The sequence below is a fragment of the Homo sapiens genome, chromosome 8 (genome assembly GCF_000001405.40).
Source record: "Homo sapiens chromosome 8, GRCh38.p14 Primary Assembly".
NCBI classification, from domain to species: domain Eukaryota; kingdom Metazoa; phylum Chordata; class Mammalia; order Primates; family Hominidae; genus Homo; species Homo sapiens.
Window position 1 is genome coordinate 17,125,068 of NC_000008.11, and position 24,893 is coordinate 17,149,960.

At 39.4% G+C, this 24,893-nt stretch overlaps 1 protein-coding gene across 4 annotated transcripts in view; it reads left to right on the top strand.

Moving 5' to 3' along the window:
• MICU3 (mitochondrial calcium uptake family member 3) overlaps positions 1-13,573 on the top strand; it is a 111,403-nt gene extending 97,830 nt beyond the window's left edge. The window contains exons 16-19 of one of the 4 annotated variants that reach the window (NR_182123.1): positions 1,122-1,177; positions 7,906-8,002; positions 9,077-9,194; positions 13,267-13,573. The gene's annotated coding sequence lies outside the window, so the exon portion shown is untranslated. Of the gene's footprint in view, positions 1-1,121; positions 5,696-7,905; positions 8,003-9,076; positions 9,195-13,266 lie in introns of those variants that run through there. The other 3 variants (XR_007060729.1, XR_001745514.2, XR_001745515.3) reach the window with 3 other exon arrangements.
• Positions 13,574-24,893: the final 11,320 nt, after the last annotated feature.

The following is a 24,893-nucleotide window of genomic DNA, read 5'->3' on the forward strand; positions in this document are numbered from 1 at the left end:
CTTGTTTTCTCTGCTCAGTTTTCCTGGTATTTCTATTATTCAGATAATGAATCTCCTATGAGTATAGCCTGTAATATAGCCTGTAATCTTTCTTTTCCACTGTTCATGTCTTTGTCTTTTTATTGTACCTTTTAAAGATTTCCAATTAGTCTTCTATCTGCATTCTTGAGGGGTTTTTTTAATTTCATCATATTCTTTTTTCTTGAGTTTTCCTTTTTTATTTTCTCCCATTCTTGTTTCATCTATTATCTTTTATTCTCTCTGATTATTTCAGTTTCTTTAAAGTTTTCTTGTGCTCCCTTCATTGCCTTATTTCTTTTTTTCCCATTTGTATTTTGGGTTTCTCATATTAGAGGTATTTCTCAAATATCTGGCAATCCTTTGGTATACGTTCATATTTACAAAGAAATTTGAATCTCTGTGTGGCTGAGATGAGCTTTTGACTGATGGATTTTATTATTTGCTGTTGTAGCTGGGGCATTTCATACGAGGAATCTTGACTATCAGTATGTATAGGTCTTTTCTCTTTGGCTGGCCAGATTTCGCCTGCCTGGCAGTTTAAAGGTTGGCTGCTATTTTGTTCAAAGTTGAGTGTGAGAAAGAAATCTTGAAGCCCCTTTCTTCAGTATGTTACCCCAAACTTCAATCCTCTCTTCTCCTTGTGCATATAACACCTCTCTGGTGGCCAGGCACGATCGCTCACACCTGTAATCCCAGTACTTTGGGATGCTGAGGCGGGTGGATCACGAGTCAGGAGTTCAAGACCAGCCTGACCGAGATGGTGAAACCCCATCTCTACTGAAAATACAAAAATTAGCCAGGTATGGTGGTGCACGCCTGTAGTCCCAGCTACTCGGGAGGCTGAGGCAGGAGAATCACTTGAACCTGGGAGGTGGAGGTTGCAGTAAGCTGAGATTTTGCCACTGCACTTAGCCTGGGTAACAGAGCAAGACTCCATCTCAAAAGGAAAAAAAAAAAAAAAAAACCTCTCTCTGATTTGACCACTGAAGGGTTTTCTGCTGATGTGTTTGGAAGGGGAGATCCAGGGGGATGAGTTTCAGGCAGGGAGGAGCCTGTAATGTAAATTCTTCCTAAACAGTTTCAATCATTCCTTCTTATAGTACAACCTTGAGAGGTACCTGAATCCTTCACTTAAGCCTTTGAGGAACTCTGTGGGGTGAGTCTGCCACTTTCAAGGTGTCTCCGTATTGCAGGCATTTAAGTTCTCTATGGTCTATGAGTTTATTACCATATGTTTCTGAGATTTAAAAATTTTGTCTCTGTACTCTCTTCCAGTTTTCCTGTCCTTGAGAAAGAAACCTATACTGAAAAAAAAATTCCTTTCCTGTCATTATGGTATAGTTTCAAGAGGGAGTGAGGAAAAATCGGCATCCAAAACAACATATTTAACTCCATAGTTACACATAGTTCTAATATATCTGGAAGTACCCACAAGGAACTTAAGGATGGTTATCTTTGAAGATGGGGGCGTGGTTATATTTAATGAGCTGTTATTGAACTATTAGAGTATTGTTAGCATGGGTATGTTTACTTTTTAAGAAAAGCACATTTTTAACACTTAGGATCTCAGTCTGGTAAAAGTGGGAATAAATCATGAAGGCTATGTATTCGGTGAATTTATTCACCAAATCTAGAGTTAGACTACTTCTTGAAGTGGGAAGAGATGGTTTGAAGAAAAAATAAAAGTATTACGGTGATTGTAAATTTGTGGAACTACCACACAGTTTAGGTTTGGATGGTAGGACTGCAGAAGGAAAGAATTGAGAAAGGAACATCAGGGGGAATCAGTTACTCGGTTCAAAAAGGTAAAGATGGCAGCTACACTCTCTGACACAGTATATTCTGGTCACATTTACCATCAGAGACAAATGAACTTGATTATTAATCTAATTCAGTATGGCATTTCCTATATGTGTATTATTTAGGAATGAAGCAAGTAGCTTAAAGGTAAGCACATTAGTCTGCTAGCAGATTTTAAACTGAGGTAAAATAAGAGTTTAGGACAGAATAAAAGACAGTAAAGATATTTTGAGTGTATGCTATATCATGCTTTTGCAAGCTCTAGGTGCTATAAGAGTTAAATATTTAAGCTGAAAAATCTATGAAAAGCACCCTGAAAATCTATACTTTTTTATGCCATTGCTCTTTGGTGCTAAGAGTTTCTCAAGTAAGTGAGTATCTTATGTACCATTTGTGCTGTAATATTTAATTACAGTGAGTGTACAGAAGATTAGCTGTCACAAAGAATCTTTTGAAATCAGATTGCACATCAAAACTACATTGTGCCCTGCTAAGTAGGCAAATTTAAGAAAGAGGAGAAAGTGATGTCAAGACGTATTGCAAAATGAACAAATAAAGCAATAGGATTTGCTTGTTGTTCAGCCTATTAAAGCACAGCCAAATGTCAGCCTTCATTTGTCAACTTAAATATGTTTTTTCTAAAATTTATAAAGATTCAGTCTATGGAAAGTATCCTTTACTATTTGGACTGAGAAGTAAATTAAGCAAAAGGAAATACTAAATAGATTATGCTACTAATTCAGTTTCTCATAGTGATAAATTGCCACATAAAGATGTATGTTAGTAATTCAGATAGAGATATTTATTGCCTTTTATTTTTGTTATTTGACTGATTAGCAAATTAACATATGTGTTTTTGCTCCCAGATATGTGAGGTTTTAAAAGCTTAGGTTAATTTCTGCTCCACAATAGCTAAACCCCAAATACAATGTACACTGAACCATTTCTAGTGTCCTGTGATTTCTTCCCTTCAAAAACAAAAAACAAAAAAGGGGTAAAAATAATTTTTTAAAAAATCTAAGTGCTGAGCCCCAAGTAGCCAGGAGTGGAAACTATCAGTTTAGAGCCTGAATTGGACTTGCTAGAAATCACCAGGAACCAGACCACATAAGGGGAGGCTCCTCAGCTAGAGCAACAGAGTTCACAGATGGTTGGAACTGGAATGGTTGGGAGCCTGCGGGCTTTATGGAGAGGAGAGATTGCCCTGAAGCCAGAGTTCTCTACTGACAGTGTGTGAGCATAATCAGCTTTGAAACAGCAGTGAGGGAGAGGACCTGAATGGGCCCTCCTCTTCTGAGTTAAAACTTTTAAGGGAATCCCAAAAGTTCCTGAGATCAGTGTACACACACACACACACACACACACACACACACACACACACCAGAATGAAGCAGAAGAAACTATCCCAAAAGAGTCTTACATGATAATCAAGCATAAACTTTAAAAGAATTCAACCAAATCCAGATAAAGGTAGCCACTATGAGTGAAAATCAAAGGCAACAATACATTTAGACTGCAGAAAATGCATATGTTGGAACTGAATACAAAATACAGAATACAGGCTATATGTGAAATTAACTTTGAAATTTCAAAAATTGTTACACAAAATGAGAAAACTGTAGGGATTAAACAGATACACTTATGAGATAGAATTTCTAGAAATAAGCATTTGCTGAAATCAAAACCTCCATTGGAGAGCCATGACTATTAGACTTATCCTTCTACCATAAACAACTACGACATTGCACAACAAATAATTCAGGGCCTTGATCCTTGAAAGAAGGGAAAACTATGTGGTGGAACTCTGCATTCAGTGGCTTTCTTCCTGGAAGGGCTTTCCAAACTACAGCAGAAGTAAGTGGAGCCCAGACAAAAAAGAGTTGCATGGGATGGCAGAAATGGGACCAGAGTTAAGAATAGCTCAAGTAGCTGGCTGAAATTTATGGGACAGAGTACCAGGGAAGGGGAGCTGTGCAGAAAAGAAGCACCAAAAATCTGCATAGGGGTACTGTTAAGTCTGACTGAATACTAAGCTGTACGTAAGCAAGGCAAGACTTCATGGGGCACGGCAGAAAACAGTCACTGGAGGTCCCATAGTGCTGGGAGCCATCAGTGTTCAAATCAGCCAGTGTGTGAAGGTCTCACTGAACAACCCAAGCATTAAGTAAAGGTCACAGGTTAGGGGTAAGGCTACTGTACCTCTAAAGTAAAGACAACTCTTGACCTATCCTAAAATTAAACCTTGACAGGACCAAGCTATCCTATCAGTACCGCAGCTACCTGCCAGAACAAAACTCAATACCTGCACAGGAAGACAGCAAATTCCTACTGTCAACAGTGTAGTATCCATAACATCCACTATAAAGTAAGCCAATATTAGGCTAAGCAGGAAAATGTGACCCTTAAAAAGGGGAGAAAGTCATTCATAGAAAAAGGCCCAGAGGTGACCCACATATTTGAATTAGCAGATAAAAACTTTAAGAACTATTATAAACATGTTCAAGGGTTTAAGTAAAAATAATAGCATAATAGGTAAAGAGATGGTAATTACAGACAGAACAATGAAAACTATAAAAACCAAATGAAAATTTTAGAATTGAAAAATACAATACTTGAAATAAAAATTCATTCTGTGAACCTAATAGAAGATTGGAGACAGAAGAAATGATCAGTAAACTTAAAGGCAGGGAAATACAAGCTATCCAAACTGATGCACAAAAGAAAAAACTATTGAGGAAAAGAAAAGAATAGCACCTCAGTGAACTATGGAACCACACAAAACAGACTACTGTAAGTGTAATTGGAGATCAAGAAGAGGGGAAGAGGGTGGGAGAGTAAAAGAAAAATTGAAAAAGTACTAACCAAAATTCTTCCCAAATTTGAAGAAATGTGTAAGAGTTTCAAGAAGTTTAACCCCAAACAAACCCACATCTGTTCATATCCTAATTAAATGGCTAGAAAGCAAAAACAAAAATTTTTTTTCAGAGACAAAAGATATATACAAGGGTAATGATAAGAATCAGTGCTGACTTATCAGTAATAATGGAGAACAGAAGATAATTGTATAACATCTTTAAATGGTGGAAAGAAAAAAGTGTTAAACTGGAATAGTATATTCAGTAAAATAGTCTTTTAAAATAATGGTTATATAAAGACACCTTCCGATAAATACTGTCGGAGAGAATGTAACCAGCAGACCTGCACACTGGAAGAGTTAAAAGAACTTCTTTAGGCAATTGGGGAATGAAACTAGCCAAAAATTTTGATACATACAAAATAAAGTTCACCACGTAAATGATAAATGTTTAGTAAAATATACAATGTTTTCCCTTAAGTGTATAAAAAGGCAATTGAGACTAGGCGCGGTGGCTCACACCTGTAATCCCAGCACTTTGGGGGACTGAGGCGGTGGGTCGCCTGAGGGTAGGAATTCAAAACCATCCTGGGCAACATGGTAAAACCCCATCTCTACAAAAATACAAAAATTAGCCGGGCGTGGTGGCGCATGCCTGTAATCCCAGCTACTCAGGAGGCCAAGGCAGAAGAATCACTTGACTGAGGTGGAGGTTGCAGTGAGCCGAGATCGCACCATTGCACTGCAGCCTGGGAGCAAGACTCTGTCTCAAAAAAAAAAAGAGAAAAAGAAAAAGGCAATTGACTCTTTAAAATGAAAATAATGCATTGCTGCGTTTATCATTAAATTATTTGGTAATATCGCAAAGGACAGAAAGGGGTAAATAGAAGTATACTGTTGTAAGATTGTATTGTAGGTGCAATGGCATAGTATTAATTCAGTTAATATAGATTGCGACCCATAGAACCGTAAGTGAGTTAAAATGCAGTAATTTTTTTTAAATGGCTAACCCATAACGCAGGAAAGGAGGAAACAAAAAAATGGGTACAACAAATAGAATAAAATAGCAAAGTGATTACATAAATTCAACCAAATTAGTAATTAATGTTAAATGTAAGTTCACTAAACATTCCAACTAAAACTCAGATGTTAATCAGTTTTTAATGAAGATTATCTGCTGCCTTGAAAATATGTATTTTATATATAAAGACATGGATAGAGTACATGTAAAATGATAGAGAAAAAAGATCCTATGTAAACAGTAATAAGAAACTGGAGTGGCTGTATTAACATCAGACAAAATGATGCCAAGACAAGGAGTATTACCAGATGTAGTAGTTGGGGTCCAGTTAGGAGACAAAAACCACCATTTAAACAAGGAAATTTTAATGTAAGAAATGATTAGAATAATGGCAAATTGACTAGTGAAAGTTAAGATAATTTTAACAAATAAAAGACTAGCAGGTATCAGGAGCAACCGTTATGGCTAAGACTGAGATAGAGCTCCCAATATAGAGCTTTCCCCCTACTAGGGCTGAAATCCAGATGTCTTTGGAAAGGGCACACCTTTGATTCACTGGATAGTGGAGAAGTCACTAAGGTGCCTCGTAAGTGGGAGCATAAGTGGGAGTTGCTAGAAGTTTCTGGGGTGCCAGGGGGGCCATCCACAGAAAAGTGGAGTCTTAAATCATCAGAGTGAACTCCCTGAGTGTCAGAGGGAGCTGGTGGTGGCTGGGCACTGCTGGAACCGAAATCTGGAGAAGCAGCCCTCTAGGAGCCCAGCATGCCTGCAGGACGGCCCTGGGATTCTAGGACTGAAAAGATGTGGGGAGCAGTGACTTGGTTTGGTGTGCAGGCCCATACCATCTGGGAAATCCCGGATAATCTCCAGCTGAACACTTGAGAAAATTGCAGCCTGCAGCATGGGAGAAACCACACAGGGAATAAGCATGCAGGGGAGGGTGGAGTGTGCCCTACAACAGCCTAGAGAGTGAATCATACCAGAACCAGGAAAGGAAAATCCCTTCCTCCTCCAGCGTCCTCCAGAACCCTCTACTGACAAGGTTTAACACTCGGCTAGCTAGCAAAGGAGAAATATTTCCAAAATCCATCTTCATTTATTACAAAGTAGGCCAAAATATGGTGAATTTGGAGCTAAGAGGAAATACATCAATAAACAGCATAGTCTGCCCCTTTGAGTACTCACTGTCCATATATACCTTCTACGCACACTTGAATGCCATACAATAATAACTCTACATTTCACCTAACAGGATACTCATCATCTCCAAAATGAGGAGATGCAACAATCATTGCATACAGTGCTGTGGCTATATTAATTGCCCTTTAGAATCATCACAGTTCCACTGGATAGTCTGTTGCCCAAAGACTAATTGTGAATTTAACCTCTAGCAACTTGCATATAAAATTTTTGTTAATAGAAGGGAGCAAGAAGAGGAAAATGTGAGCATATATACATAAGTACATACACATGAAAAGCAAAAAAGGAAATATTCAAAATGACTACAGCCCTTTTTTCTGCAGTTGGTCACAAGGCCCTAATTTTTACTTATGGCTTCCTTCTTCTACTGTTCATTGATTTCGCCCACCTCCAGCCAGAACCTGGTAGAGTAATTCAAACTCTCATTCCTGAAAGTTCCAAGTCCTCAATTATCCTGCCTTTTATTTTGGTTTCTGTACTTTTCTACTACACTTTTCTATTGCATATGGAGTACTAATATACACCCCAAACTGTCTCCTGGGTTACAGACATAGTCTTCCTTGCCCCTAATGTATAAAGGCAACCCAGTTTCCTCTTGGCAATAGGGATCAGTCACTCCACCTAGTAGAGCAATCCACCTTTCTGCCTGTTGATTCAGTAGCATGAGGAGTCCAGAATAGCCAAATGGAAATCTTTCTCCAATTCAGTGGAACCATTGTGTCTCATGGTGGAAACCATGTTCCCTTTAAGAACTCAGATCTCTGAAATGGCAGAGCTCAAAGATGCCAGAAGCAGCAGCAAATATTCTGCAAGTGTGTTATTAGGTGTTGCTACGGTCTGAATGTTGGTGACCTCCCAAAATTTATATGTTGAAATCTAATCACAAACGTAATAGTATTAAGAAATGGGGCCTTTAGGAAGTGATTAAGTCATGAGAGTGGAACCCTCATAAATGAGATTAGTGCCTTGGTAAAAGAGGTGCAAGGGAACTGTTCACCCCTTCCTCCAGGTGAAGAGCCACAAGAAGATGCCATATTGGAAGCAGAAAGCAAGCCCTCGCCAGGCACTGAATCTGCTTGATCTGGGACTTCCCAGCATCTAGAACTGTAAGAAATAAGTTTCTGTTGTTTATGAATTACCCAGTATAAGCTATTTTGTTATAGCAGCTGAAACAGACTAAGACAAATATAATAGAGGAGCCATTCTTTCATCCTACTTTTGATTCCTGAACCCATGTATTCTGGTTATGATGGGGAAAGTGCACTATCTAGTTGTTTGTTTGTTTTTAATTGGAGGATTAGTCCAATCAAACTGCTCCACTATTAACAGAAGCTAGAAATAAACCCCTTTGTTATTGACATTTTTTGCTAACCATTAAGATTTTTGTTATTTATGGGTTATCTATTTCTGTCTTTTGCCACATATATTTTTTTAAATCTGTTCATTCACTTTCTTTGTATATCAAATATATAGATCATTTGGCTGTCCTATAAGTTGCACGTATTCTTCCAGTGTATTATTTCAGTTTTATTTATATATATATCTCAAAGATTTTCATTTTTATGTATTTGGATGTGATCTTTTTAGTTGCCATTTCCTTACTGCTTTTAAGCTTAGAAATACCTCTTCCAATTTAATAAACTGTCATATATTTTATTGTTTCTATTTTCTTTGCATATAACTAAAAAAATCCACCTGGGACTAATTTTGTTACCTGGTAAAAAATGAGGACCTAGTTTGTTTGACCCACAAATATCTAACCAACTTATCCAGCACTATTTATGGAATAATTCTTCCTTTTTGCCACCTAATATAATGCAAATTATATTTTAAATATTTAAAAAGATTTTTACATACCTAAATCTATTTCAGCATACTCCTTGTGTGGGGATGTAAATAAATAAACTATTCTCTTCATTTGGACTATCTGGCTGTTCTTGTAACTACATTGTTTTACTTACTTTATAATATGTTAGACTATTTTGTAAGACTAACGTGCCTCCATCTTCAATAGCCACATGTAAATTCCTCTTTTTAATTTTTAAAAACTATTCATACTGGCTTATCCTTTCAGATGAATATTAGAATTGTTTTATCTTCTCCAAGTGAGATTTTTATTTACTCACTTTAAAATTATAAATTAATTTGGACTGATTGACAATTGTATTATGGTTCTCCAGAGAAACAGAACCAATGGGATGTACATAAAGAGATTTATTGTAAGAAATCGGCACATGTGATTATGGAGGCTGACAAATCCCAAGATCTGCAGGGGGAGGTGGCAAGCTGGAGACTCAGGTGAGCAGACGTTGTATTTCTTATTTCAATCCTAAAGCCTGAGAACCAGGAGAGCCAATGGTGTAATTCTAGTCCAAAGGCTGGCAGGCTTAAGATCTAGGAAGAGCTCATGTTTCAACTTGAAAGCAGATGGGCAGAAGGAATTGTCTTACTCAGAAGAAAGTCAGCCTTTTGTTTGTTTGTTTGTTTGTTTGTTTGTTTGAGACAGAGCCTCACTCTGTCACTCAGGCTGGAGTGCGGTGGCATGATCTCTGCTCCCTGCAAGCTCCACCTCCCAGGTTCATACCATTCTCCTGCCTCAGCCTCCCGAGTAGGTGGGACTACAGGTGCCCACCACCACACCTGGCTAATTTTTTTATTTTTTAGTAGAGACGGGGTTTCACCATGTTAGCCAGGATGGTCTCAATCTCCTGACCTCGTGATCCGCCCGCCTTGGCCTCCCAAATTGCTGGGATCATAGGCGTGAGCCACCACACTGGCCGAAAGTCAGCCTTTTTGTTCTCTTCAGACTTTCAAATGATTGGATGTGGCCTGCCCACATCAGGGATAGCAATCTGCTTTAGTCTACTGATTTAAATGTTAAACTCCTCCAAAAACACCCTCACAGACACACCCAGAATAACATTTGTCAAGTATCTGGGCACCAAATGGCCCAGTCAGGTTGACACATGACGTTAACCATCACAACACCTTTATACTATACCATTTCATTCAGTGATAATTATTTGAGTTCAGTTGTATATTCTACTTACAAGTCAAGATTTATGGGTTTCATTATCCAGGTCATGCCTGCTTCTTACAATTATGGTCTTTCCTATAATATGCATACCTATTGTTGCTTTTAAGAATGGACATTTGGCCAGGCGCAGTGGCTCATGCCTGTAATCCCAGCACTTTGAAAGGCCAGGGCAGGTGGACCACAAGGTCAGGAGTTTGAGACCAGCCTGGCCAAGATGGTGAAACCCCATCCCTACTAGAAATACCAAAATTAGCCAGGTGTGATGGTGGGCAGGAGTAGTCCCGCTACTCGGGAGGCTGAGGCAGGAGAATTGCTTGAACCTGGGAGGTGGAACTTGTAGTGAGCTGAGATTGCGCCACTGCACTCCAGCCTGGGCAGCAGAGCAAGACTGTCTCAAAAAAAAAAAAAATGGACATTTTTCCGTTAGATTTTCTATCTGATTTTTGTTGGTATACAGAGAAGCAACTGATTTTATTTGTTCAGCACTTAACTGAACTCTTGGTAGTACTGAAAGTTTTTCAATTGATTCTCTTAGGTTTTCTGGTGGGCAGTCATATTACATGCAAACTAAGGCAAATGTGTCTTTGCCCTATCTACATTATTGCTTCTATTTCTATCTTCTGTATTATTGCATTGATCATAGCCTCCAGAAGAGTGTAAAATACTAATAGAGGCAGCAGAAATCTTTCGAATTCCCATTTTAATAGGATGATCTCTGTAATTGTTCAAATTAACATTTTGCTGTTGATCAGAAGAAAGTATCCTTTATTTCCTGAATTTGGAAGAAAAAGGATTGAGTGTTGAATCATCTCAAATGCCTTTCAGTAGTCACTGATAAATCGGTTATATCATTTTTCCAACTTGACCTCCAGATGTAATATATCTTTTTATAGGCTTCCTATATTAAATTATTCTACATTAGTGTAATAAACTCAAATAGATCATTCTTTTCATTTTCTGATCTTGGACAAGTTGACTTCTCTATGTTAGCTTCTTCATCTATAAAGTAGAGCTAAAAATTGTACTTACTCCATGTTATAGGACATAGTTGAGATAATTCACATAAAGTAAATTCATGGAAAATACCTAGCACAATCTCCAACACAACTCCTAGGGTATGTTCAGCTAGTATCATCATCATGGTTATTAACCAGTAGGCTGGAATATGGTTACAGCAGGGAAAATTATATTTCCCTAAGAGTTTTCTTATATTCATGAGAGGGACATTTCTCATATATTTTTAAAGGAAATAAAGTAGGTATTTTTAGATTTCTATGTATGAATCACGGACAGCAACAATAAAAAAGTTATTTTTCATTATTTTATTGTAAAGCGATGTTGTTTGCTTATACCTATCTCCTTGGGTTAAATACGAAGTCCCTTGCACAGTTGGGTTGGGTTCATGGCCTTGTGACCACCGCAGTTGCACAAAGACCCATGTCAGAAGGGCTCCACATATGGGTTTTAATCCTCCGCTGTCACCCTTTTGAAATTCTTAACAATTTTTAAGTCACTGGGAAAATGGAGCTTGTGGAGGGGATTAGAGCCTCTGCTCACTCATGGCTCTGCTTCCCATTCCATCCCCACCTTCCTAGGATTCTTGGCTACCCTCTGTCTTGCCAAGGGCCTCACCCTCCCCACCCTGTCCAGCTACTGCTGCCAGTCTTCATCCCCCAACAGCGGCCTGGGTGCAGGTATAGATAGGAGTTGGGCAGGGCATACGTGACCCAGAAAGTCTTCAGGCAGAGCATGGTGGAAGCCATTCTACCCTAGGCTGGCAGTGCCGTGGTGCAGAGGCTGTAGCCAACTGGGGACCACAACTCAGGGGAGATAAACCTTTTTTTTTTTTTTTTGAGACGGAGTCTCTCTCTGTTGCCAGGCTGGAGTGCAATGGCGTGATCTCAGCTCACTGCAACCTCCACCTCCTGGGTTCAAGTGATTCTCCTGCCTCAGCCTCCCAAGTAGCTGGAACTACAGGTGCACGCCACCACGCCCAGCTAATTTTTGTATTTTTAGTAGAAACGGGGTTTCACCATGTTGGCCAGGATGGTCTTCATCTCTTGACCTCATGATCGGCCTCCCAAAGTGCTGGGATTACAGGCGTGAGCCACCACTCCCGTCCAAACCTTTCTTTCACTTATCTTCAATCCAAGTACGTAAAGGCTTCTAGCCCAAAGGTTGCAATATCCTTGGGGTTGCCTATGTACCCCTATCTAAGTTTGGCTTATCAGTGCCATGAGGTATGAATTATGTAATTTCAGTGATTCTACATAGGAGTTAAATGTTCTATTTGCATTTAAAACTGGCATTGCCCAATATAAGCAGTAAACATCATACTAATTTTTTTTCTCCCAGTGGCTGTGAGAACATCATATTAATAATTTTTTTAAATTTTATTTACTTAGAATGATATTAAATAGCACATAAAAACACTACGACAAGTTGAGAGAGACAGACCACGGAAGGAAGAAAAAAGTTTTATATTTAATACCTTAAACCACACTATTTCCTGCTTTTTTTTAAAAAAAAAAAAAAAAAGGGGGCCCTGTATTTTCATTTCACACTGGGCTTCAAAAACTATGTAGCCCATCTTTTCTTGGGATATGGAAATTTGGGCCAGTATCCAAGTGTGTAAGTATGTCTAAGTTTGGATAAATACAGGATGGTAAGAAACAGACAAGGGAAAGAGTAATATTTTCTTTTCCTTTTTTTTTTTTTTTTTTTTTTTTTTTTTTGAGACAGAGTCTCACTCTGTCGCCAGGCTGGAATGCAGTGGCACAATCTCGGCTCACTGCAACCTCCGATTCCCAGATTCAAGCAGTTCTCCTGCCTCAGCCTCCTGAGTAGCTGGGACTACAGGTGCGCACCACCACGCCCAGCTAAATTTTGTATTTTTCGTAGAGACAGGGTTTCACCATATTGGCCGGGATGGTCTTGATCTCTTGACTTTGTGATCCGCCTGCCTCAGCCTTCCAAAGTGCTGGGATTACAGGCATGAACCACCATGCCCAGCCAAGAGTAATATTTTCTATTACATGGAAGTGGATTTTGATTTTCTCAGAATTATAATGGAGGAAGGAATATTAAGATGGTAAAAATGCTCATGATACCAAAGATGTCACCCACATAGTGATAAACTCTTAAGAGAATTTGATGTTTAAAGAGTTATGATGTCTGATCTGATTTCTTGAGTTTCATCAATAAGAATGAGGGACTCAACAACCAAATTCCAAAGAGGTTTGCATTAAAAAGGGTGTAACTCCAGCAGAATGTAAATGTATGTAAAATAGATAATAGCAAGATGTTATAATGTTTTTATTTTGAATGAGGCAGAAGCTGTTTCGGAAAAAAAGAAATAGAGGTTTAAAGAACACAGAACATACCTTCAACCGTCATGGCAGGGTGGTGGACCACGAGGAAATGACTGTGACAAGTCAGCTAATCTTGGAACAAATTAGGGAAGGAAATGATGAACAACAGCTGCAAAGAAAAAAATGCAAGAATTTGCAAATGATGTCCACTTTGTCTTTAATTTACCCAATGCTGGAAAGAATACTGGTCACCTCACTTTTCGGTAATATACGCACCATCGTCTTCAGACACAGAAGAATGAGAAATAATTAAAAGTCACTGAGACGGCTCTCACCTCCTGTACTTCATTATCACACAATGTCTTGCTAGAGAGGCATTTTCATTCCAGATGAATATGTGGTTGATTAGCGCTTTTCCAAAAGCAAATTGTCTGAGGTTCTCTGTACTGCATTTCCTGGTACCAATTCCTCATTAAGGTGATTCATGAATTTTTTTTCAATTAGGTTCGTATGTCTTTTTAAAAATCAATTTGGTGTCTACCTTTCAACTAAATGAATGAGCCAGTGTATCATTCAGACAGGTGTGGACTTGCATAACTATTAAGTTAAATGAGCCTTTCATAGAATTGAGAAAATGGGCAAGGATTAAAAGTGGAATCTGAACAGGAATCACTATTTCAAAAAGAACAAATTAGAAAATATGAATAAACAGGTGAACTACATGAGCCCTTCCATTCAGAATAGCATGGCGGGTAAGCATGGGCTCTGGAGTCAGACTTCTCTGAGTTCCAATCTTGGCTCTTTTGCTAACTTCCTTTGTAATTAAACAAGGTCGTAACACTTTCCACCTCTCAGCTTTTTCATGTGTGAGATGAGATCATGATAGCAGCTGTGTCCTTGGGTGGTGGTGAGAATTAAATGGGAAATCGCCTTTAAAGCACTGAACTGAGCACACAGTAAACATTTAATAAACGTTAGTTCCTATTATTCCTAAAATAATACTATTCATTTAGAATCACTTATTAGTAATCAATGCTAACTTGACCTTAACGATTAAAATAAAGATAAAAATTCATGGGCTATCGAAACCTATAATGTGGTACTCATTATTCAAGTGGAATGAAAACGCTGAAAAGAAAATGTTTTTTCAAAATTTCATCTGGCAAATATTGCCAAATAGTTTAAAGCAACCCTACATGTTTTTTCCATACCTCATTATCCTGTGCCATGAGGGGGAAGAAAGGATGTATTTTAATTGTTGTGACCACCTTCATCTATTGAAGTCTTGATTTTTCAGGCACCTCCTTCGTTTTATTAAATATTTTATGCTGTGCATGTGAAATATGTAGTCCATGTACCCAGGGATATTTCTGTCTACTAGTTTTCCTTGTTCCTAAAAACAGAAATGAGGAATGCCTACGGCTAAAAAGAAAAAAAAAACTGTCTTCCTGTCAGCAGCTCCTTCTGCTGATATGTCACCGATGCCAAATTATATATTCACGTAATTTGCATTTTCCCACTCTTAGTTTTTTTTTTAAATCATTAGGTCAAAAGCTAAAATACATTCCTTTTTATAGCAGAAAATTGCTCCTGTTTGTTCAAAGCCAATTTGAAAGATTTGATCATCAGAAAAACATATATGTGTCTATATATAATTTCTAAATTTGGCTTCAAACCCCTACTTATTTAGTAGTGCCACACAATAGCTTTTTTTAATGTAAGATTTTCCTTTAAGAAATGGGAATAAAGCTCTAGGTATTTATTTTTTGAAAAGTGCTGTTTAATCCTGTGCTTAGCATAGTGCCTGGTATTTGATAGATAACAAATATATATTTGTTGAAAAATAAGTGAATGAATGAATGAATAAGCAAAGTAAGGCATATCAAGCCTGAAAGGTAGATATAGTCTGCTTGACTTTTCCTTTACTGCTTGACACATTTCCTAACTTTTTCTACCTCCTAACATTAAAACAAAAATACAATGACATACTTGAGAGTTTTCTAGTAAGATGCATGTCCCAGCAACTAAAAAGCAACTCCAGCCGGGTTCAGTGGCTCACGCCTGTAATCCCAGCACTTTGGGAGGCCAAGGCGGGTGGATCACAAGGTCAGGAGATCAAGACCATCCTGGCTAACACGGTGAAACCCTGTCTCCATTAAAAATACAAAAAATTAGCCGGGTGTGGTGGCACGCGCCTGTAGTCCCAGCTACTCAGGAGGCTGAGGCAGGAGAATCGCTTGAACCCACGAAGTGTAGGTTGCAGTGGGCCGAGATCACGCCACTGCACTCCAGCCTGGGCGACAGAACAGGACTCTGTCTCAAAAACAACAATAAAAAAAGCATCTCCATGAGATGGATTTTTTTCTCGGGTACTAAATGCTGATAGTAGCTAACATACAGTCATCACATATATTATGCATATAAAATGCTTAGCATATATATACATATATAATGCCAGATACTATGCTGAGCATTTTATGCACATACTGTTATTAATATCCTCAACATTCCTATGAGAGAGTAGATAATATATGCCCCAGCTCATATCTGAGGCATAAAGAAGTTAAGTAATTTCCCTAGGGTTATATAGCAATAAGGATAAAACCAAGACTCAGACCCAGGTTGTCTAATTCCTGAGCCAAGCTCTTAACCACCATGATGAATTCCTTACTGTGATGCAAGAGTACTGGGAAGTAAACAGAGGTGACTTCTAAGCCATGGAAGAGGTGCCAGTGAGACTATGGTTTGGTGGGAAATTTAGGACTCTTGAGCAGTGCTGTGGAGCTGGAGCAGAATGGGCACGAGGTATCGGGAAAAGACGGAATATTAAAGCGAAGAACTGGATTGGGGGAAGGCGTATTATTGGCCTATATCTAGGGTCATATAATTTATCATCCAAACCGGGACACTTTTGAAAGTGAAAAGGGACTCTATTCAGAATTACATCAAGACAGTGCTCCAAACTGGGACTATCCAAGCTAAACTAGGACATGTAGTCATCTTTCCCATGTCCCTCTCTTGCTAACTTATTTTTTCCTTTCTTCCTCTCTTATTCTCTTCTCCCTTTTCTCTCCCTCTTCGTCCTCCCTATGTCCCTCACTGGCTCTTTACATGTACCTTAAATGGCAGTAATTTGTTGCGTTTAACTGGAGTTGGGATGCTCATTAAGTGCCTCATGTTCGAACCGAGTTAAACAAATGTTCCAAAACAATAGTTCCGTTGTTGCTGTATTATTTATCTATTGCGGCATTGCAAATTACCCCAAATTGCAGCTGCCTAAGAAAACAAACATTATTTCCCACAGTTTCTGAGTCAGTCAGGAGCAGCTTTGCTGGGTGAGTCTAACTCAAGGTCTCTCCTGAGGGTGCAGTCAAGCTGTTGGCTCGCACTACAGGCATCAGAAGGAATGACTGCAGCTGGAGGACTGACTTCCAGAACACTCACTCACATGGCGACCCCCATCCTCTGCTACATGGCCCTCTCGATGGGGCTGCTCATGACAACAGGGCAGCTAACTTCTCACGGCTCAAGTGATGTGAGGCTGAGGAGGAAGCCGTGGTGTCTTTTTTTGAACCAGTCTTTGAAATTTCCCACTATTAATTCTGCTTTATTTTATTCATTAGAAGTGAGTCACTAAGTGCTATGGTCTGAATGTTTGTGTTCTGCCAAAATTCATATGTGGGAACCCTAACCCCTAGGTGATGGCAGCGTTTAGGGGTGGAGCCTGTGTTAGTCCATTTTCACGCTGCTGATAAAGACATACATAAGATGGATAATTTATAGAGAAAAAGAGATTTAATGGACTCACAGTTCCACGTGGCTGGAGAGGCCTCACAATCATAGCAGAAGGCAAAAGGCACATCTTACATGATAGCAGGCAAAGAGAGAGTGAGAGCCAAGTGAAAGGGGTTTCCCCTTATAAAGTCATCAGATCTCGTGGGACTTATTCATGACCACAAGAACAGTATGGGGAAACCGTCCCCATGATTCAATTATCTCCCACTGGGCCCCTCCCACAACACGTGGGAATTATGGGAGCTATAATTCAAGATGAGATTTGGGTGGGGACACAGCTGAACCATATCAGAGCCTTGGGAAGTGATTAGGTCCTGAGGATGAAGCCCTCATGAAAGAAATTAGCACCCTTATAAAAGAGGCCCCAGCAAGCGCGTTGGCCACTTCTACTATGTAAGAGTACAGAGAAAAATCATCTTTGAGGGAACCAGAAAGCTGGCCTTCACCAGACATCAAATCTGCCAGTGGCTTCATCCTAGACTTCCCAGCCTCCAGAACTGTGAGAAAGAAATTTCTGTTGTTTAGAAGCTACCTAGTTTATGATACTTTATTATAGCAGCCAGAATGGACTAAGACACTAAGTCCACTCAGCACTCAAGGGTAGGGGATGAGCCTTCACTTCTTGAAAGGCGAAGTATCAAAGAATTTGTGCACATATTTAAAATCATCACAGCTACATAGTTTTTCAAACTGACTCTTTGATTTAATTTTACTTCTGGGGCCCTGTCCAAAGAAAACAACTAAATAGAAGGGGAATGTTAGATGAGCCAAGTTATTTATGGTATGTTATGCCAGTGAAAAATTAGAAAACACCTACATAATTAACAATAAAGGAATGGTTTAATGAATTATAGTACTTCTACAGAATAGAATACTGTGCAAATATTTAAAATTATTCTAGACTGGGCATGGTAGTAATCCCAGCACTTTGGGAGGCTGAGGCAGGAGGATCACTTGAGCCCAGGAGTTGGAGGCTGCAGTGAGCTATGATCATGCCACTGCACTGCAGCCTGAATAACAGAGCAAGATCCTGTCTCAAAAAACTTTTTTTTTAATTTAATAAAATAATTCTGAAGCCTGTATAGCAGCATGAAAAAAATGTTTGTAATGAAATATTTATGAGAACACAAAATTGTATGTAGGCTATCATTTCAACTCTAAAAAGAAAACACACAAAAAGACCAGATGGAAACAAGCTAAAATAACAATGGTTGTGCTAATTGGTAAAATCATGGGAAGTTTTTATCTTTCTCTGTTTTCAGAGTTTCTGCTCTATAACTGTGATGTATTGTTCTGCTATATATAATTTTGTTATTTTTTATTTTAAAAGAGATAATTAAAGATAATATTGACTTTCTAAATAAGGAATTCAGTAGGCTTTTTTTTTTTTTTTTTTTTTTTGAGACAGAGTCTCGCTCTGACTCCAGGCTGGAGTACAGTAGTGTGATCTCGGCTCACTGCAGCCTCCGCCTCCTGGGTTCAAGTGATTCTCCTGCCTCAGCCTCCTGAGTAGCTGGGACTACAGGTGCCTCCCACCACACCCGGCTAATTTTTATATTTTTAGTAGAGACTGGGTTTCACCTTGTTGGCCAGGCTGGTCTGGAACTGCTGACCTCAAGTGATCTGCCTGCCTCAGCCTCCCAAAGTGGTAGGATTACAGTCGTGAGCCACCACGCCTGGCCAACTTTTATGTTTTTTTTCCTTATGTTATTTTTTATGTTATTTTTTTTCTATTCAGCAAAAATAGACTGTACTGAGATTGACAGACAGGCTGCGGGGGTGTTATATTAGTAAGGGAAGAGATGATGCACTCAAACTTGGTAACTGAGAAGAATTTAATTAAAGGAAACCGACAGAGTGTGGTTGAGCACCCTTGGGAGTTGGGTGCTCACCCCCATCCCAGGCCTGAGGGACAAGGAGAGACAGGTACTGTATCCCACAGAAGCTGTGATCTTCAGTGTCAGGCTGAGGGAGGTGGAACGAACATCCTCATATTCTTGTCTGGCCTTTGAGCCACTGCCTACCTCCCACTGGTTGAACCAACCAAAATCCAGACACAAAGGAGCCCTAGATCTTAAAGGGTGAGCCTTCCATAACACAAAGAAGGGTGGAGAAGGCGTCTAGAGGCGCAAATGCAAATATCCAATAAAGGGACTGTGTTACGGAGCTGCAGCATGTGCTGCTTTGATGAGAAGATTCCAAAACTCTTACTTACAATCTGTATCTTTATACTAAAAATTTACATCAGCAATATTTGAGGAATATATATTTTGGCATCAAAGCATTCACAGAAACATGTCCAGGTAACCCACTAATTATGGATAATTGAGCTTTTAGACACAGACTGCCTGCAGTTTAGGTCATGGCATTTCAAACTGACTCTTGTATCTGGATATATTAGGTTGGTGCAAAAGTAATCACGGTTTTTGCCATTAAAAGTACTGGGATGGGCCGGGCGTGGTGGCTCACGCCTGTAATCCCCGCACTTTGGGAGGCCAAGGCGGGTGGATCATGAGGTCAACAGTTCCAGACCAGCCTGGCCAAGATGGTGAAACCCTGTCTCTATGAAAAATACAAAAATTATCCAGTCGTGGTGGCATGTGCCTGTAATCCCAGCTACTCGGGAGGCTGAGGCAGGAGAATCGCTTGAACCCAGGAAGTGGAGGTTGCAGTGAGCCGAGATCTCGCCACTGCACTCTAGCCTGGGCGACAGAGCAAGACTCCATCTCAGAAAAAAAAATAATAATAAAACAAAAATAAAAAATAAAAGTACCGGGATTACAGGCATGCGCCACCACTTTAAAAGTAATGGCAAAAACCGCAATTACTTTTGCACCAACTTAATACACATTTCATAGCAAGTGTTATTTAAGCAGAGACAGTGTACAAACCAGCAGGACATTTTCAATGACACTCACACCAGTGGACCTCCTGATAAAATTATCCCCATTCAAATAAGAGCTGTAGGAGCAGACATTTTCTTTATCTGTACTATGAACTTCACGAAGGCAAGCTCCTTGTTTTTGGTTTGGTTGGGCTTATTTTTTTGCACGTCATGTAACCATCGCCTAGCGCAATACCTAGAACACAGGAAGTCATCCAAATGTGTTGAATGGATGAATGGATGGACCTGTTAAAGGACCGTCACATGTTACTTTCCCTGTGTTCTTCTTTAGGAAATAAGAAATGTCTCAGGAAACGTTGGAAAATTTAAGTAACTTGCTTAAGATCAAGCAGCTAGCAGGTGACAGAAGTATAATTCAAACACAGATGTTTCCGTTGCAACCCTCCGAGGAAAATCAGACTCTTACACTGGTATTTCAGTTATACTTCCAAATATCTAGCCTGAAATATGACTATCCCTCTGCAGTGCAAACATGATAAAACTTTATCTTCTCTTCACTGTCTCTGGAAACAAATTTAATGTTCTTCCGAATGAGACTGTTTCATTATATAGTTGACATGAAAGTATTCTTTTTCTGTGTGAGGGAACATGATGGTAAAAATAACCCCACCCACCAATGCCTATTTAAGATGGAACTTCTGTACCATTTTTTTAGTCTATCAGCGGTTGTCTCGAAGCCGGTACTCTTTCCAAACCCTTTCCCACCCCCAATCCCCACCCAGTAGGAGGATGGTTTTGTTTGTCATACTGCCTAGGAAAGGGGGTGGCCCTGTATTTAGTTGTGCAAAGGAACCAGACGTGCTGAATGGCCTGCAGTGCTAGGACAGCCCCACACACTGAATAACTGTCATGCCCCCAATGCCATAGCATTGTAGCCCCTCAGTGATTCTTCTGCTTTTTCTAGGTTAGATCTTTTACCCAAGAATATCAACTATCCTGGGTATACTTAATATTCTTTTAAGAAAACCTAACCATGACATTTTACTTGGTTCCCCCTGTGAATTTTAAATTCCCGGGCTTAGCTTCTTTGATTAAGCTTGCCACGCTTGGAGTCTAAGAGAAAACAAGCTGATCCTCTTGTGCTCGCGGTGATGTGAGAGGAACAGCAGGCTGGGCGTCAGGAGACCCGGGTTCCTGGCTTGTCCACATAGCAGTGTCACCTTGGGCAACGCGTCTAATTTCTTCGTGCTCCTGTTTTCTCATCTGTAGCATGAGAAAGGGTGCACACAATGAAATAATTTTTCAAAGGTGCAGCCCTAACATTCTCTGAGTAGCTGCAGAGCTAAGCAAACCGGAGCCAAACGAAAGAGTTATTGTTAAACGCTTGAAGGAATGATGGAAGGATAAAATCCCCAAAGAAAACTTGAGATGTTACCTCAGTTAACACCCAAATGGGATGGGCATATGTAGCCTCCGCTGAAGCAGAAATAACCATTCCTACTTCCCAACTCTGTGTCTCTTTTCTGCGTCTCAGTTGGAGGTCACAGTCTCGTGAAGGTTGTAGTTAATAGTAGATGTGGTGGCCAAAGACTTTTTTCCTCCTTAGTTGACGGTGAGCCCCATGGAGTGTGATGGGCCCATTTACCTTGAAAGCCTTTCCTCTGGATTTCCTTTCTGCAGATTTTTCCTTTCCAAAATCTAGAACACCTGCTTCTTCCTGTCTTTCACATCTGTTAGCTAACTGGTCTCTGGGCCTTTCCTAGAATCTGTTTCTTCCTCTCCATTCCTCTTGCCATTGTCCCAGTCCAAGATTTCATTTTTTTCTATTCTTTTTTTTTTTTTTTTTCTTATCGAGACAGAGTCTCCCTCTGTCTCAGAGTGGAGTGCTCATATTGGAGTGGCTCACTGCAACCTCCACCTCCCAGGTTTAAGCAATTCTCATCCCTCAGCCTCCTGAGTAGCTGGGACTAACAGTGCCCGCCACCACGCCTGGCTAATTTTTGTATTTTTAGTGGAGACGGGGTTTCACCATGTTGGCCAGGCTGGTCTCGAATTCCTGACCTCAAGTGATCTGCCTGCCTCGGCCTCCCAAAGCCAAAGTGCTGGTGTTCCAGGCGGGGGTTTCTAAGCTTGCTTGTTCTAGTCGGTTGCCTGTTTGGTCTTAGATTGTTTTTCTTTTGCTTTACTTTATATACAGGGCACTGACCCCTGCAAACTACATTTCCCATGCTCTCATACCATCTGGCTTTCAAGTAAATTTGCGTTCTCTCTCTCTCTCTCCTCTTTCTCTCTTGTTTCTTCTCTCTGTCTCTCTCTCTCTCTCTCTCTCTCTGTGTGTCTGTCTCAGGCTATGTCTCTAGTAGTGGCTAAATCCCCTCCACGGTCCCCAACAACTACCAGGTGACCCATCATTCATCTTGGGCTGCAGTAAGACCACCTTCCCTTTGTCCTTCCAGCCCTAGAGGTGGTAGTGACTTTCTACAATTGGTAATCTTTGTGTTTGTTTCCCCTCATCCTAATTGTTCATTCTACTGTTCCAACATCTTTGAATTTCATTTCCTGTTTTAAATTCCTCCCATTGAAATCCCTCGTGTGATATTTTCTTCTAGTTCTCAAAATTGGCCTCTCCAGAAGAGAAGGCATTCCCTGCACAAGGGAATCATCCCTTCCTTTCTCCATGATGCAAACTCCTACATGTTTTTTAAGCTTTAGCACAAATTCTACTTTTCTCTCAAGGCTTTCCTGACTATTCCAGGCACATTGAGTCACTTCTCCTTTGCTGCCAATGTACTTGTTATTTATCTTATTATAGAAAATGTTTGCACATTGATCTCCTCACTAGCCCAGAAGCTCCTTGAAGCTAAAGACTAAATTTTTATTTATTTATTTATTGTGTGTGTGTGTTTGTGCGTGTGTGTGTGTGTGTGTGTGTGAGAGAGAGAGACAGAGTTTCACTCTTGTCGCCCAGGCTGGAGTGCAATGGCGCGATCTTGGCTCACTGCAACCTCCACCTCCTGGGTTCAAGTGAGTCTCTTGCCTCAGTCTCCCAAGTAGCTGGAATTACAGGCGTCCGCCACCAGGCCCAGCTAACTTTTTGTATTTTTAGTAGAGACAGGATTTCACTGTGCTGGTTAGGTTGGTCTCTAACTCCTGACCTCGTGATCCACCTGCCTCGGCCTCCCAAAGTGCTGGGATTACAAGTGTGAGCCACCATACCTGGCCTAAATTTTTAAATTTGAATATCACCAATATCTGGGCACATGGCAGGTAATTAGTAAATATTTGTTAAATAATACACTACAAAATTTTGAAAAATTTCTAGTCATATTTAAGCAGCCTCAATAGGGTTATGATTCTTAAATTTTGCAAACACATCAGATACTTTAGCTATTTTATAATGAAAACAGTTATAACTGACCTCTTTATAAAGAAAATGAATTAATAACTGTAGCTGAGCTAGGTATTTTATTCCAGTGTTGGTTGCAGTATATAATTCATTGCAGTGCTTACTATATTTCACCAAACAGTGGAATACTGATGTTTTAACTTTAGTTTCAGTCCTTGGAATTTGCATTCAGGTTTGTGTATTCATATTCCAAAATGCTGCTCATTAAAGAGTAATTATAAATGTCTATAATTAGGAATAGGTCACTATTGTTATTACTGGAAACACACACACACATATATATGTATCACATCATATATATAGTCCAATTTACCTTTTCTCCTCATAAAAAAATATTTTAGAACTGTGTAATTTCTACATCATAATTAAATCAACATATTCTTTCAACAATTCACAAAGTGATTATGCCACGTTGTCAAATCTTTTGTGATTCCTGAAAGTTAAAAAATGTCATCTTTAACATTTTATTGAATTCAAGAGAAAGCTTAAAAGAATAAAAATGTATTACCCAAACCTCTTATTTGGCTTAAAACATAAAATCCAAAATCTCTAATCATTTGGATTCAGAACCCTCAACATCTATACTGAATGTCTGAAAAACAAAAACACATCCTGTCTCGTACTCCAGATATAAAGGCTATCGATATTCCACTACCAACCTAGCATTTCATATAACATGACCCATTACCAAAAAGATTGAAATTTGAGCAAATAGAGAAAGGTTTTATCAACCATGGAAATAATCCCAAGAAATTCAGAATACACAGTGCCTGAGTATCACTTGAAAATAATAATTCAAAGTCTTTGAGCTATAGGACGTAATTACACTGGATAAATTCTAGTTGACGGAAGAATCCCTGATGATAAAAATTTTTCTCCTACAAATCCGAAGCCAACATGCCTTTTTTGTTAAATGTCATCATTAAATATTTATTCTTTATTTTGCCTGCTCTTTTTGAAGGCCAGAGAAAACTCTGGTTAGACTTTTTTCCTTGTACAGTTATAAATTGCGGTGTAAACTTGATGTCCAACTTACATGTAAAGTCTTTGACAATACTTGTCCGTACTTATTAAAATTAAATATTAAAACTTATTTGATGTATTTTCTTTTCTTTCTTTCTGTCTTTCTTTCTTTTTTTTCCTCCAGGGGAGCATGTCTTGAACCAGAGCCAATGTGGGTTTCCACAGACCACGGGGCAAGACACGTTGACTTTACCTCCACTCATATCTGCTGTACAGAAAACCCAACATGATTAATCTAGCCTACAATTTGACAGAGACAGAATTGAATATAAGCAGTTATTCCTCAGGTGCCCCCAGTGATTACCTGCTCTTCCAACAGAACAGAAAAGGTCTTAACGACCACGGGATAAAGACACCATTCTGTGTTTCAAGGCTGGAGTTATCCAGGAATAAAGCTATATCTTCAAGCACTGTTGGTTTAAAATCTAAATCTAATATTTAGCTTTATGTAAAGGAATTCGGACATAGCAATCTAAGTTTCTCCGTGCATACCCTTTAAAGTAATCATGTAGATATCTACATTTTCTGGAACATGGACAGTCTGGTTGCAGACAATGGTCTTCATTCTCACAGTAGACAC